Raw genomic sequence first — 16,582 nt, 5'->3', positions numbered from 1 at the left:
ATGCCTGAACAGGTGTCTCCAAACTCCTAATGCACATTCACTCTCAACCTTGGGAACTGAGTCAGTGGTCCTGGGGCCATTTTAGTTAAGGCTAAGATATTAATGTAATAATAATAATAATAATGGGAAAAGGGAAGGAAAGAAGAAGAGGAAGTGGACATGGAAGAGGAGCTAGCAATTAATGAACATTTACAACTGCCGGGGATTGTAGCAAACATCTTAGGGACTCAGTGGCCAGTCCCTTCCTCCAGCAATTTAGACACATTGATAGCTATAATTGTATTACACACCCACATTCAGGATCACTGCTGTCCCCTAGAAGTCTCTGCAAGTGCTTGGTTTGATTGCACAAAATATTTCTGATTATTTTCATTTACACAAATAGCTTTCATTTGTACCTAATCACTATGAAGCACAAATATGATTATGTGCTGATTAACTTTGCTTTAAGATTAATTTCAACATTAAACTCTGCCCATTATTTTAGGCTTCTTAATTTGTTGTGTGTACGGAATTGATTGTATATTCAAACTTAAAGCAATTAGAGGACACATCATGTCCTGGAATATTAGGATACAATACAGAGGGCGCACAAGTCCTTCCCCAAGCAGTAGAGATAATAGAATATTCTGAACAATTAACCTTAAGATATCTGAATATCTTTTTTTTTTTCTTTTTGAGACAGGGTCTCGCTCTGTCACGCAGGCTGGAGTGCAGCAGCATCATCTCTGCTCACTGCAGCCTCTGCCCCGCCAGGCCGAAGCATCAATCTTCCTACCTCAGCCTCCTGAGTAGCTGGCACCACAGGCACGAACCACCACACCCAACTATTTTGTTTGTATTTTTAGTAGAGATGGAGTCTCTGCCTTATTTCCCAAGCTGGCCTCAAACTCCTGATCTCAAGTGATCCTCCGCACCTCAGCCTGCCTCCCCCAAAGTGCTGAGATTACAGGCATGAACCACGGCACCCAGCCCTGAATATCATTTTGAATTTTAGAGTCATGGAGGTATACGATATGGTCTAGTTGTATTTTTAAGGTGCTAAACAGAGAGGTGGGCAGTAAGATACTGTGGAGGAGTACTGGTACTAACGTCAAATGCCATGGCCAGACTGCCTGCAACATTACTAGCTATGTTACCTTAGGGAAGTAGGGATGTGGGACTGTGTAGGGGAAACTAATATTTGTTGAATATATACTATTATAAGTACTAGCACTGTCAGATGCTTTAGGAATAGTAGTGGTAGTAATGAGAACAATCATATAGAAACCCAGATAGCTAGCATTTATTAAGGTCTTTGTGTAGGCCATTGATAATGGTTTGGGTGTATGTCCCTGCCCAAATCTCATGTCAAATTGTAATCCCCAATGTTGGAGGTGGGGCCTGGTGGGAAGTGATTGGATCATGGAGGCAGATTTCACCTTTGATAAAGACTCTCACCTTTGCTAGTTCTTGTGATAGTGAGTGAGTTATCATGAGATCTGGTTGTTTAAAAGTGTGTAGCACCTCCCCTCTCTGTCTTCCTCCTGCTCCAGCCATGTAAGGCGTGCCTGCTTCCCTTTTGCCTTCCGCCATGATTGAAAGTTTCCTGAGGCCTTCCCAGCCATGCTTCCTGTACAGCCTGTAGAACCGTAAGACAATTAAACCTCTTTATAAATTACCCAGTATCAGGTATTTCTTTATAGCAGTGTGAGAATGGACTAGTACAGCCATGCAATATCCTATTTAATCCTCAAAATAACCCTAAGGGATCGGAGCTATCACGATCCTCATTTTACAGAAGAGGAAACCAAAGCTCCAAGATGCTAAGTAACTTGACTAAGGTCACGTTGATAAATCACAGATAGTCTAGATTTGAATCCAAATCTGTTGGGCATCAAAACTTTAGTCTTTCCAGTTCTTCTAGATTATCTCCAAGGTTAAGTAATCCCTAACCTCCCAGAATCTGCTTCCTCATTTATAAAGTTGTATAAAAATATCTTACTTAAAACAAAAGATCTTTTTGTGGCTCAACAAGATCACATACCTGAAATAGCATATATTGTAAAATACTAGAAAATGTAAACTTGCTAGAGACTTAGAAAATTTACCTGTTTTCCTTGAGGCAAATAGGTACATGTTCCTCTCTTCCTCTTTTCCTCTCTCCCTTCCTTCCTGACATCCTGCCTTCCTGCCTTCCTTTCTTTGATTTTTGTTCTCCCCCTTCCATTCCTTTTGATCCCCTTTTTGTTCTCCTCTGCTTTCTTTCCATCCTGCAACAACTTCATCCCCACCCCGACCCCTGCCTGGTTTAGGAAAGAATTAACCAGAGAGCCCGGGAAAAGTGTGCATTTTAATTAGTCATCTATGATTCATTGGGAAATGGCTTTGTTACTCTGAAGACAGAAGGAGACATGGATTTTCTCACTTACACAGAGCTGGTTGCACACCCAGCAGGGGCTCCAGGCACAGTTGCTAAATGATGAATGATAGCATACCCAGGTAGGTTACTCACTGGATAAATATGAGCAATTTCTTTTTAGGGGATCATCTTCATGCTGAGTCTTGGACACCAACCTGAATTCTCCTACAGAGAAACTGGACATCTGCTCTTGATGGGGTGTAGTGGATAAGGCATAGCACCTGTGATCAGGAGATCTAGATCTGAGTCTCAGTTGTGACACTTTTTTCTGTGTTACCTTGGGAAAGTTATTTACCCTCTCTGAGCCTCAATTTCCTCACTAAAAGGGGATCATGGTACCAACATGTGTTAAAAGAGTATTAAATGAGATAATAAGTACTTTGTAAACAATGTGTTTGTAATTAATCATGAATCTTAGTTTGATTATATGATTATAATTATGTTTTTTTCCAGTAATGGAAAGAGGGCAGGGATAAAAGGCAGTGAGTGGCCTGAGCTTCTAAAAATTCTCATGAGAAGGATTCATAGAGGGTTCACCTGGTTCCTTCTAGGAGTTTACTCACAGCCTTATAATTTTCATTATTTAGAAAAACAATCACAGATGTCATGTATCACAACTTGCAGAGAACACACCTGCCCCTGAGACAGAGCAATCATGATGATGGTGGGCAGATGGGGTCAATTCTGGGGAACTGGGATTCCTTGTGGGAATGGAGGCCATTTCCCCATGGGTGACTCACAATGGCTGAAGAAGGGAGAGGCAAGTATCTATTATACACAATTAGCAATCACCCCACAACCCTGGCTCATGTGAACCCCACCACCACCCCCAAAGCTATTGCCTTTTGCATAGTCCTCCACCCCACCTCCATTCCCAACTTCCCAGACACTCATTTTAACGTGCTTTCAGGAGGCAGGAATTCTGGTAGGAGGGAGATATCTCACGAGGTTTGCCCTGAGACACTCCTGCCCCTGACCATGAGGGCAGGCTCCTATCTCCTCCTCCTTGGGTCCAGGTCTGGCCACACCCACATGAGAAGGGAGTGTGATCCCTGAGCATGCCTTGAATGTGGTGTTAGAAAATGGGACCCACATAAAGATTCTGCCACAAAAGTGCTGTATAACTCAGGGCAAATCACTCACTCTCTCTGAGCTTCAGCTTCCTCTGCAGTAAAATGGAGATACTAATACTTGCCCTGACTTCCTCACATTGCTGATGTGAACATCAAATTTAAAAACCAAAACAGGGCCGGGCACGGTGGCTCACGCCTGTAATCCCAGCACTTTGGGAGGCCGAGGCGGGCGGATCACGAGTTCAGGAGATCGAGACCACGGTGAAACCCCGTCTGTACTAAAAATACAAAAAATTAGCCAGGCGCCGTAGTGGGCGCCTGTAGTCCCAGCTACTCAGGAGGCTGAGGCAGGAGAATGGCGTGAACCCGGAAGGCGGAGCTTGCAGTGAGCCGAGATCACGCCACTATACTCCAGCCTAGGCGACAGAGCGAGACTCCATTTCAAAAAAAAAAAAAAAAAAAAAAACCAAAACAATAGAACAAAAAAAAATCATGAGGACTAAAATGCTGTTTAAATGTTTAGTTTTAGGAGAACAATGAAACAGTTAAGAGCAATAAGCCAGAAGAACACATAGCAATGTGGCTGAATCTTAAAACCATGGTCCTGAATAGAAGACAAGAAACATAATGAGCTATATCACAACCCTATTCACATAAATTAAAAATCCGCAGCCACAAAACAATGATGTGTGCTTTTCAAGATTCAACATTAAACAAATTAAAACAGTGATGGGATATAGGGGATGGGGATAAAAAGAATGAATGAATAAGTGAATGAATGAATGAATGAATGAATGGCAGAGTTCTTGCATGGACCATTGATGACACTGTGAGATGAGATGAAGGGCGGAATAATCCTGTGTACCTGAGATCCAAGAAAAATGTTTGTTATTATTAAGCATCAGCTTTGTTAAGTAAGGGAATTGACAACACTTTCTTCTGCAGTCTAGTCACTCTTTGATTCATTTATTCAACAAAAGTTGGTTGGGTCCTGATGCAGTGACTCATGCCTGTAATCCTAGCACTTTGGGAGGCCAAGGCAGGAGGATTGCTTGAGCCCAGGAGTTTGAGACCAACCTGGGCAACATACAGAGACCCCTCTCTACAAAAAGTGAAAGAATTAGCCAGACATGGCAGCTTGCGCCTGTGATCCCAGCTGCTTGGGAGGCTGAAGCAGGAAGATCGCTTGAGCTCAGGAGTTTGAGGTTGCAGTGAGCCATGATCGCGCCACTGCACTCCAGCCTGAGTGACAGAGTGAGTCCCTGTCTCTAAAAATATAAATAAATAAACATTGGTTGAACATCTACAACAGGCCAAACTGTGCAGAGTACCAGTATTATAAGCTTCCCCCCGCCCCAAAAAGTCCTGCCTTTATTTACTGACAAGAAAACAAATGCTCACAGTATGGTATGATAGTGTCTGACAGAGATGAGGACAAAGGAACGCAGAGGAAAAGTCCCTCACCCAGCCTGGGGGAGAGGGAGGAGGCTGTGTCAGCGAAGGCTGGAAGAAGGATGCTTGAGCTGTGCTGAAGTATGTGTATGGGTCAATCTGGTGAAGAAGGTAGGGATGTATTTTAGGTATAGGAAACAGCAAGTTCAACAGCACTGACACGTAAAGCAGCAAGCAGCTCCGTACAGGCTAGCATGGACTGGCCCACAGCAGAGACCTGGGGAGGCTGAGGCCAGAGATGCAGCCCACTCTGAAAGGCCTTCAAGACCAAGACAGGGACTTCAGAGATTCCCTAATTGCACGGAAGCCAATGTGGTTTTTCCCTGGGAGAACATCACACCCAGATATATGTCTTTAATAGCCACCATGGCCACAATGTGGAGATGGGTTAATGGAGAGAATCTTGGTGTGGGGGAGGCCATTCAGGAGGTTGCATGAACACTGGAGGCCTGAACTAAGGCAGTGGCTGTGGGGATGGAGAGAAGGGACTGAGGCTGTGAGATGGTAAGAAGCAGAGTCCAGGGTTATGTTGACTGGTGTCTGACTGGACATGGAGTAGAGAAGGGGTAAGAGAGGGTCAGAGATAATGTCCAGGTTCCTGATTCAGAAATCAAAGTAGCTGACCATGCCATTCTCCAGAAAATGACATCCAGGAGGAGGGACAGCCTTGGGTAAAGGGTCAGAAGTGCAGAAGGTAGTTGTGCACACAAACACAACTCAGTAGAGGGCTCTGGTCAGAAATATCTATATTTGGCAGCACTGCCATACAAAGCCACAGGAAGAGATGATACATCTGGAAACATTTAGAGGATGAAAAGAGAAGAGGGTCAAGAATGAACCATGCATTTAAGGGACAAGCAAAGGAATTGTAACCTGCAGAAAAAAAAGAAAGAAAAGACCAGAAGAGATGAAATTAAGAATAAGTGAGACCAGTGTGGTGGCTCATACCTGTAATCCCAGGGCTGTGGGAGGCCAAGGCAGAAGGATTGCTTGAGGTCAGGAGTTTGAGACCAGCCTAGGAACCATAACAAGATTCTATCTCTGCAATATGTATGTGTGTGTGTGTGTATATATATATATATATATATTTTTTTTTTTTTTTTTTTTAATTAGCCAGGTGTGGTGGTGCACACCTGCAGTCCCAGCTACTCAGGAGGCTCGCTTGAGCCCAAGGGTTCAAGGCAGCAGTGAGCCAAGATCATACCACTGCACTCCAGTATGAGTGACAGAGTGAGAGTACCCACACCACTGTGGAGTGAGAAACAGAGAAAGGGGAAGCTGTAGGTGCAGAGAACTTTCAGGAGAGCTGTCTGTAAAAGGAAGGAAGACAGAACTAGAGAAATCAAGGAAGAAATTGTTAAAGGATGAGAACAACTTGAGTAGATATGGAGGAAAGGATTTAGGAGAGAGGAAGAGATTGAAGATGTAGAAGAGAAGGGAAATTTGATGGAAGGAAGTCATAGCAAAAGAGAGATATGAGGATGGAGGGAAGTGCATAACTGAAGGAATTCACATGGACTGAAGAAGGGACACCTCCTCCCCTCGGTGCAATGAATTGTCCAGCTTTCTTAGAATAATATTCCATATGTAGCTCTATGCTCCCTATAAAATGAGACTGACATCTGTTAATGAGATTACTGTAAAGCTAATTTCACTTCATTCTTTACCTCATTTCCTCTCTCCCTAACTATCTCCATTAATGACAAGAGCAGTGAGGTGCCCTGAGAAGCAGGAGGCGGTGCCCAGAGCCGGCAAGGGTGGGGAGAGGAAAAAGGAGTCCAGCCTATGGTAGGACGTGAGTGGCTTCAACACCCCTCAGAACCCAATGCCTCCACTGAACCACGAAGCAAGCTGAGAAGCCCCGCCAGCTTATGGGGAAAGTGCTGGCTTCCCTAGAGTCTAAACCTGTTCTAACTTTCCCCTGGTTCCAGCTCTGGATCCACCTCTACATTTTTAACTCACCCTTGCCCCTTTGGTTTGTGGGATTTTTCTTTCATTGCTGACTTCTGATTCTTGGCTCCTTCTCAAGAGTTTTGCCTTGTGTTCAATTCCTTGATATGCCAGCTTTTGACTACCTTCTCTAAAACTCATGTACTTATGCTCCTCCTCATTCAAAAGGGGATTCGAGGGTTGACAAGGGGGTCATAAAGATAAAAAAGGATTATGTCATTGTGCACACATCACAGAGTGTACTTACAGAAACCTAGATGGTGCAGCCTACCACATACCTAGGCTACAAACCTGTACTGCATGTTGCCATACCGAGTGCTGCAGGCAATTGTAACGCTATAGTATTCGGGGATCTAAACATATCTAAATGTAGAAACTGTAAAGTGAAGGTATGGTATAAAAGATAAAAACTGTACACCTGCATAGGGCCCTTACCATGACTGGAGCTTGCAGGACTGGAAGTTGCTCTGGGTCAGTGTGTGAGCAGTGAGAGAATGTGAAGACCTAGGACATTACTGTACCCTACAAGGATTAGAAACACTGTACACTTAGGCTATGCCAAATTTATTTTAAAATTTTCTTTCTTCAATAATAAATTACCCTTAGCTTACTGTAAGTTTTTACTTTATACACTTTTTAAATTTTTTTAACTCTTTGACTTTTTTGAAATAACAGCTTAAAACAAACATATTGCACAGCTGTACAAAATATTTCCTTTATATTCTTATTCTATAAGCTTTCTTCTACTTAAAAAAATTCTAAATATTTTTACTTTGTAAACTTTAAAAAAAAATTAGACACAAACACATTAGCCTAGGTCTACACAGGGTCAGGATCATCAATATCACTGTCTTCCTCCTGCACGTCTTCTCCCGCTGGAAGGTCTTTAGGAGGAATAGCACACACAGAGCTATCATCTCCTATCATACCAAAGCCTTCTTCTGGAATACCTCCTGAAGGACCTGTCTGAAGTGAAGCTGTTTTACTGTTAACTTTTTTTTAATAGGTAGAAGGAGTATACTCTAAAACAATGATTAAAAGCATAGTAAATACATAAGCCAGTAACACAGTTATTTCCTATAACTATCAAGTATTACATACTGTATGTAATTGTATGTGCTAGACTTTTACATGACTGGCAGTGCAGTAGGTTTGTTTACACCACATCACCACAAACACGTGAGTAATGCATTGTACTCTGACCTCATTAGGCAATAGGAATTTTTCAGCTTCATTACAATCTTATGGGACCACTGTGGTCTGTGTGGTTCATCACTGACCAAAACATTGTTATGTGGCATGTGACTGTATATCAGTATATATGTTGATCAGATTTACACTATAATATATTGAGAGGAGATGAAGAAAGTGACTGTGAGAGATAATAAATGTTTATTGTTTTAACCTACTAAGTTTTGTGGTAATTTTTGTTTCTCACTACAAAAATGGAAAAGTGGAAAATAAATAGACAATGTCTAAAACAGAAAAAAGTAGCAATATAAGCTTGTTATTTAGAGATATGAAAGTGATATCCCAAAAAAGCTGACAACAGTTGGAGCTGGAGGATGTACTTCTAAGATGGCTCACTCACACAGCTGGCAAGTGAGCTCACACTGCTGGCTGTTAGCAGGTGGTCTCAGTTCTTCACCACATGGACCTCTCCATTGTGCTGTTTGAGTGTCTTCACAACATGGCAGCTGACTTCCTCCTGAGTGGGCAGTATAGGAAAGGACATAGTGGAAGCCACAATTCCTTTCATGACCTAGATTGAGAAGTCACATTCCATCATGTCTGGTATATCTTATAGCTCCACAGGTCAGCCCTATTCTATATGGGAGGTGACTACACAAAGGCATGACTTACTAACACGCAAGGATTGCTGGGGGCTATCTGGGAGGTTGCCACGCAAGTATTCAAAAAGTGGAAATTTGCCTGACACACTGAACCTCATCCTTAATTCTCTTAATGATAAGTACATAAAGAGGGAGGCCAGTGGCATAACTGCTCAGCCTTGTTCAATAGAGCTAGCCAGCCAGAGGCCAAAACCATATGTTCAAGTCTCTGAAGGTCTGACTTATCTGTGAATAAGACTAATGGAATCTAGAGGAACGGTGGGAATGCATGTCTTTTATCTCTATTAATGCTATTTTTTGCAACCAAGCATTTGGTAAATTTTGAGCTGCAGGGAGCTCAGTGTTATGCTGACAAGTACATGGGGTTCAGCTCCTCCCTGTTACCAATTAAGGGCAGCCTTATTCTTTAATAGGCTGGGCTGGAGATGGGCTGTCAGCCTCCTGTGAAAGTGCAGGAGCTTAGCTAGGGCACATGCTTGGCTGGAAGGAGAGCCTCTTGCATGTAATACCTGTCCTAGATGCAGACAGTCTTGGCATTTAGGGCATCCAACTTTAAATCCATGTCCTTCCTCCTTGTCCAAGATCAGAAAAATAATTTATTTCTTCTTTTTAGTTCTATCAACGCTTCAAAGTCTAGCTCTAAAGTCCCCCCCATCCCCCACCCCCCACATCCAGCCTCCCTCACTGCCTTCATGTCTGCTCTTCTGCCCCCTCCAGACCAGTATCCAGGCCTCTTGGGCCTCTTTCCTGCTCCCCTGTGCAACCTTACTGATACAGAGGGAATTAACCAAGACTGCCAAGGAAAGTTGGGTACAAAGCAGGACTCATAAGCAAACAGATGTGGACATATTGACTCCAACAAACAGCACTGTTTCATTCAGATGTGGGACAAACCCAGATACCCCTGTCAGCTTGTACCTTCCCAGACCTCAGGTTTGCTCAGAAGCCCTCTTACCTTTACAAAGTGTGCCTTTAGAAAAGGATGATTCCGGGGGCAGAGAGACACCCAGAAATGATACTCAAAATTATGTGTTTGTTCAGGCATTTCTTTTTCCTAGAAAATGCCTGAACATTTTCATCAGATTCCCAAGGCCCAAAGAGGTTAAGATTCCTTGTCAGTGGACACAAACCACGGCGTGCAGGCCAGATGGGGCCCTGTGAGGTTACTGGTTTGGACCACATACGGTTTTGGGAGTTTCGGCAACGTTTAAAAGTCAGATGATTTTGCGCAAAAATCCAGATTCCTGGCTTTTAAAAAAAAATGAAAAATGAAGCAACCTTGAGCCCACATCCCCTGGTGGCAAAAACTGGCTGGCCCAGGGCAGCAGCTGCCCTTCAGATGGGGCAGGGGCTCCCCACAGTCCCCAGTGGACACATTTCTTTTTGATGATTTTGTCTGCCATCTCCTAGTTTAGGTCCTTTGTTTAAGATCTTCAGAAACTGGTGAGTGTTTCTCCCAGCAGTTGGTTTTTATTGGTTTCAAGCCACTGTTCTCCATCTTCGGTAACTCTCCCCACCCAGCACCACACTTTCAACAGGAGCACACCCTCATGCACACCTTGGGGGGCGGGGAGCTCTTCTTTCTGCTGTGACATTTCATTACCTGTCAGAAAGACCGACCTGAGCAGGGTGCTCCTGCTGGAGTCTACCTGGCTGGAAACCAGACAGGCACCAACCCTGAGAGCCTGTTCACCTTGGTTTCTGGAATGGACATTAACAACCTCAATTTGCTCTAGATGTGACAGCTGTTGATATGGTTTGGCTCTGTGTCCCCACCCAAATCTCATCTCGAATTGTAATCCCCAGGTGTTGAGGGAGGGACCTGGTGGGAGGTGATTGGATTATAGGGGTGGTTTCCCCTATCCTGTTCTTGTAATAGTGAGTTCTTGCGAGATCTTACGGTCTTAAAAGTAGCACTTCCCCTTCACTCTCTGTCTCTGTCCAGCAGCCATGTAAGACGTGCCTTGCCTCCCCTTCTCCTTCTGCCATGATTGTAAGTTTCCTGAGGCCTCCCCAGCCATGCAGAACTGTGAGTCCATTAAACCTCCTTTTTAATAAATTACCCAGTCTCAGGTAGTATCTTCATAGCAGTGTGAAAACTGAGTGACACTGCTATCATCAGTAATAAGGGTGATACTCTGTTCTCCACCAGACCATACATTGTCTATTTTCTCTCTTTAGACTATGGATTCAGGAATTGCATTGCTCTTCACTTACTAATTCTGTGACCTTAGAAAAGTCACTTAATCTCTCTTCTGCCTCAGTTTCCTGGGCTGTAGAAAGAGGATAATAGTGTCACCCTTATAGAATTGTCATAAAGAGGAAATGAGAAGATCTAGTTTTAAATGCTTAGCCTAATATCCAGAACATTGTAAGAACACAATAACTATAAGTTATTATAATTTCTGATCTCAGTGACTTAAAAATTAAACCAAACCAAAACAAGAAAATCAAAAACAAAATAAATACTGATTTTCTCTGACTGGAGCCTTGTTCCTCAGCTCAACCCTTCTTCCCTTTGATGGTTCCCCAAAGTGGCTCCAGGAAATTCCCAGGGATCCTCCAGACATAGTTTGTTTTTTTTGTTTTTGGTTTTGTTGAGACAGGATCTCACTTTTTTTTTTTTTTTTTCGATCCTGGTCTCACTTAGGTTGGAGTGCTGTGGTACAATCATAGCTCACTGCAGTGTCAATCTCTTAAGCTCAAGCAATCCTCCCACATCAGCCTCCTGAGTAGCTGGGACTACAGGTGCATATCACCATGCCTGGCTATTTTTTTTTAACTAGAGATGGAGTCTCACTATGTTGCCCAGGCTGGCTTTGAACTCCTGAGCTCAAACAATGCTTCTACCTCAGCCTCCCAAAGTGCTGGGATTACATGCAACAGACACCACACCCAGCCGGACATAGTTCAAACCAGTCTCCTAGCTGCTGAAATGGCCCCCCACTGACCCTATGCTGGAGCTCAGACACCTAAGAGTAGCCCTTTACTCCTCTCTCCCTTCCCCCCACATTCAGCAATCCCAGGTCCTGTCATCCACAATCCCTCCTAAATTTCTCCCTACCTCTTCACTGTTCTCAACCCCACTGCTACTACCCCTGCCTTTGTGGATTTTTTCTTTCACCTATGAAATTCAATAATTCACTCATTTAGCCAATATTTATAGGTACCTACTATGTGCCAGGCTGAAGGCACCTGGTGAGACAGCAGTGAGCAAGACAGACACATACCTGCCCTCAAGGGGTTTCCATTCTACTGGAAGGAGACAGAAAATAAACAAAGAAGTAAAAGCTATAGTGAGGTAGATGGAGAAAACTACAACATGGAAATGGAACAGGGAGTTGAGGGTAGGGGACTACTTTAAATAAAATGGCTAGGAAGGCTTCCCTGGAAAGGAGACATTCCAGAGAGAGGCACAAAGGCCCTGAGGTCGACATGGCTGGCTTGTTTAAGGATCAGTGTGGCTGAACCAGAGAAGACTAGCTGGAGATAACGGGTCAGCCTGTGTGGGGCCTGATAGGTCCTTGGAATGGCTCTGGGCCTTTACCATGAGTGCAATAAGAAGCCGTAACTAAGATCTCCCCATTTCTCACCTGCATTACTGCAAGAGTCTCCTATCTGGCCTCCCTCAGGTGTCTGCCCAGCCTGTTAACTTTTTATAATTCCTATTCTTAACACCTTCAACAGGTTGCCAGAAACTGCCTATTTCCCTGTTAAAGCTTCAAAACTTTGTGATTTGCACTTAGGCCTATCTCCTTCACTTTTCTACAGCCACTACCCAAGCAACGCCCCCTGCCCTGGGTAATGGAGGACTGATTCTAATTCCCTGTGCGGCCCACAGCCTCTCACTCCCTTTTTGTTCCAGCTGTTTCCTCTGCACTCAGCATACATCCCCTTTCCCCTCTGATATGGTTTGGATCTGTGTCCCCGGTAAATCTCATGTTGAAATGTAATTCCCAGTGTTGGAAGTGGGGCCTGGTAGAAGGTGTTTGGATCACGGGGTCAGATCCCTCATGAATGGCTTAACACCGTCCCCTTGGTGAGGAGTGAGTTCACACAAGATCTGGTTGTTTAAAAGTATGCGGCACCTCCCCACTTCACACTTTCTCTTGTTCCCATTCTTGCCATGTAAGATGCCGGCTCCCCCTTTGCCTTCTGCCATGATTGAAAGCTTCCCGAGGCCTCACGTGAAGCTGAGCAGATGCCAGTGCCATGCTTCCTGTACAGCCTGCAGAACTGTGAGCCAATTAAACCTCTTTTCTTTGTACATACCCAGCCTTAGGTATTTCTTTATAGCAATGCGAGAATGAACTAATACACCTTCCCTCTCTGCTACTGCTCAAGTGCTTCCCTAACCAGCCTGAGGTGGAGAGGAGAACATCCCCCGCCAGGAGGTTCCCCATCCTGTGCATATGTCATTGTCCATTCATTCATCTGTCTGCCCTAGTAGAGCTCTTTGAAGGCAGGACAGTGCTCAGCACAATTCCTTGCACCAAATAGAAGCTCAATCAAACGTTGGTTTAAAAATGAGTGATCCTACCCTCTTCGAACCCAATCCATTAAGCTAAAACTTGCCTTTTCATCTGTTCCTAGGCACTTCCTAGCACTTGGTTTCTAGCAGTAGTCACAGTCCAATCTTTATTAGTTACATGTATATATGTGTTATATCCTCTCGTGGGTTACAAACTAACTGACCAGGAATATTGGAGTTAATTTTTACAACCACATTCCACTCTCATCCCTGCACTGCCTAGAACAATGCCTCCCACAGGGAGAGCCTCATAAAATTAAGAGTATGGGCTTTGGTATCAGACTGGCATTTGTATCTTGGCCTCCTGGCCTGTGTGGCACCGGCCAGCCATTTTGTCTCTTAGCTTTGCTCTCCTTTTTTTGGAAAAAGGGGATGCCTAGCTACTGGAGGAGCGAAAGGAGCCGCTGCACAGGGTTTACCATTGATTACGGGCTCAACAAAGGCTGTTGTTATCATTGGAGGCACTGTGCAGTATTTCTCAAACTTGTCTAAAATTCAGTCCCTTTTAAAGGAGAAAAATTTTCATAGGATCCCAGGAAACATATATGCAAAAACACAGACTTCAGTTTTGTCTTTATAAATGGTATGAGTTTCTGTAAAGCTTATCATAAAATTGAAAAGTCGAAATTCCAGCAATGCTTGGAGAACTAGCAGAACATAAGACTGCATCCACAGACTCCAATCTAAGAAGTTTTTGTTTACTAAGTGGACTTGGGGCAGAACCATAGGCGGGGGAAGGCAGGAGGCCACTTCCTTTGCTGGCAGTGTGGCTTCCCTTCAGATGACATTCTTCACAGTGGGCTGCAGAGACCAGAGATTTTTGTTCTTCCCATGGGGATTGGGGTAGGGGAAGTGGGAGGGGAACATGTGAGGAGGAGCCAAAAGGCCAGTGGTTTGTCCCTGGTGGCTCTAGCCCGGTGTGGGTCCAACCTGTGTGTGTGCGAGACCTCCCACACGAGCCCTGGAGCCAGCAGTGCCTTGCATATGATGGAGGGGAGTGGGACTGTAGCAAGAAGAGGGCTCATGAGCAGAGGCAGAAAGAAGTTCAAGGAAAACGGTGGAAGTCAGAAATTGTGTATCTCTAGCAGATGGGAAATTCACCACATCAAGAGAAGGTCATCCAAAGCAAAGAAGAACCGGGGCAGCTAAATGTAAAGAGAACCCCTGGCCCTCCTCCTTCCCTGCCCCAGACCCACAGGGTCAAAGGAAGCCTTGCAGGGGCTGAGGATCCCTTGGGGTCTGCTGCACAGCTGGTCTGTAAATGTCACTTCTCAACCCAGCCTCCCCCAACACACTCCTCCCCTCTCCTCTCCCCACTAGCACAAGCCAGTCTCTGGGAGTCACCCTGGCCACAGACCCAGAGTAGAAACATGCAGAGATTTTGCAACTTGCGTTTCAAAGAGATGTGAAGAGCTCCTGCCCCACCAGCAGCATATGGTAGCTCCTCCCACAGAGACAGGCCAAGGCCTCCGTAGTAAACAGACCAACTGGTCACATCCCCCCTCACAAAGCCTAAATAAAAGCCTAAATGATCATGACAGCCACTAGCAGACTCGTTCTGTGAACGCAGGGATCGTGGACATTCAGAATGAATCTGGGAGACAGCAGCAGCTGCCCAGGAGCAAGCGCCTCCTCTGCAGCTCTCTTTCCTCATTAGAGACCCTCACTAGAAACTATCACGCTTGGAATGCTATTCTTCTCCCCTCAGGAGACTTTGGAAAGAGCACGGTGACATTAAACCAAGCCCAGCACACTAAAATGTTCCCAGTGGCAGCTTTGCAGGGGCATCAGTGCTGTGATCCTGCAGCGACTGAATGTGAAGCCGCTCCTGGGAGCTCCCACCCGCCTCAGCGCTGGTGGGGACAGGAGAGCGCCAGGGACACGCCACTTCCAGGAAAGAATTTTGGATTGTGGAAGAGCGAGTTCTGCTCTAAATCACTGCAGTGCACCCCAACCAGTACTGAAAGAGAGAGAAAGTCGGCTGTTGCCCACAGAGCCCAAAGCACCAAGCAGAACTCCTTTTCCTCCACGTCTCCTTCGCCCACTTGCTTCCTTCCGTAGCCACTGTAAATTGGAAGGGTTTTCCAGAGGGCAATTGGCAATGTATGTCTAAGGTCTTACTTCTAGGAATTCAACCCGCCCAGCATAATCTGTTTTGTTTCCCCAAGCGGCTATCGAAGATGGCGTAGGGGTGAGGGGCAGGTCCTGGTGCTTGAGGCCGAGGCCACCTCTGGGGACGCGGGGGCCATCGTGGCTAAGCAGGCACTGCTGGGCCGGAGGGTGGGGGTCGTGCACAGCGAGGGCATCAGAATTTCTGGCAATTTCTTTTCTTTTCTTTTTTTTTTTTTTTTTTTTTGAGACGGAGTTTCGCTCTGTCACCCAGGCTGGAGTGCGGTGGCACAACCTCGGCTCACTGCAACCTCCACCTCCCAGGTTCAAGCAATTCTCCTGCCTCAACCTCCCGAGTAGCTGAGACTACAGGCACGCACCACCACGCCCAGCTAATTTTTGTATTTTTAGTAGAGACAGGGTTTCACTATGTTGGCCCATTTCTGGCAATTTCTACAGAAACCAGGTGAAGTACCTGGCCTTCCTCCACAGGTGGATGAACACCAACCCTTCCCGGACCCCCACCCTTCCTGGGCCCCCATATACCTGGTTTGGACCGCGCGAGGCCAAGCCTCCCAGGACCGCCTCAAGGTGTGTGCTGGGATCCCACGGCCCTGCGACAAGAAACAGCTGAAGGTTGTTTCTGCGGCCCTCCAGGTGGTATGTCTGAAGCCTACAAGAAAGTTTGCCTGCCTGGGGTGCCTGACTCACGAAGCTGGCTAGAAGTAGCAGGCAGTGACAGCCACCTGCAGGAGGAGAGGAAGGAAAAGGCCAGGATTTACTCAGGGAAGGAAAAGCAGCTCTTAAGGCCACAGAAACAGGCAGCAAAGAACATGGAGAAAACTGACAGATACGCAGAGGTCCTCAAGACCCATGGACTCCTGGTCTGAGCCCAATAAACACTGCTTATTCCCCCAAAAATAAATAATAAAATAAATAAACAACTAAACAAATCATCTTTTTTTTTTGGTTTTCTAACGTATATAAGTGTTATCTTTACAGTGTTATTTGTAGTAAACATAAATGGCCCAAAAAGAAGGGATCATTTGAGTTAATGATGGCATTTTTGTGTAGTGGAATGCTATGTAGCTAACAACAAAAAAACTTTTGAAGAAAAAATTATGATATGGGGGAAATTCTCATGCTATGTTAGTAATCTTTAAAAAGCATTTTCCCAAACATTATTTCTGATATTTCCAATGATGTAAAGCCA

The 16,582-nt window shown here is 44.9% G+C and overlaps 1 pseudogene, besides 1 other annotated feature; it reads left to right on the top strand.

The window, feature by feature from the left end:
- Positions 1,374–2,573: an enhancer, noted in NCBI's record as "CDK7 strongly-dependent group 2 enhancer chr1:114557741-114558940 (GRCh37/hg19 assembly coordinates)". NCBI's record gives its function as "activates an origin of replication core promoter dependent on BRD2, BRD4, P300/CBP, MED14 and CDK7 cofactors, with strong dependence on CDK7, by STARR-seq in HCT116 cells {active_cell/tissue: HCT116}" and the evidence as "EXISTENCE:reporter gene assay evidence [ECO:0000049][PMID:35650434]".
- RPL13AP10 (ribosomal protein L13a pseudogene 10) lies at positions 14,349–16,259 on the top strand (annotated as a pseudogene).

Source organism: Homo sapiens, chromosome 1, assembly GCF_000001405.40.
Source record: "Homo sapiens chromosome 1, GRCh38.p14 Primary Assembly".
Taxonomy (NCBI): domain Eukaryota; kingdom Metazoa; phylum Chordata; class Mammalia; order Primates; family Hominidae; genus Homo; species Homo sapiens.
The sequence above is the reverse complement of the archived record's forward strand: the minus strand, read 5'-3'. Positions and strand labels throughout refer to the sequence as shown.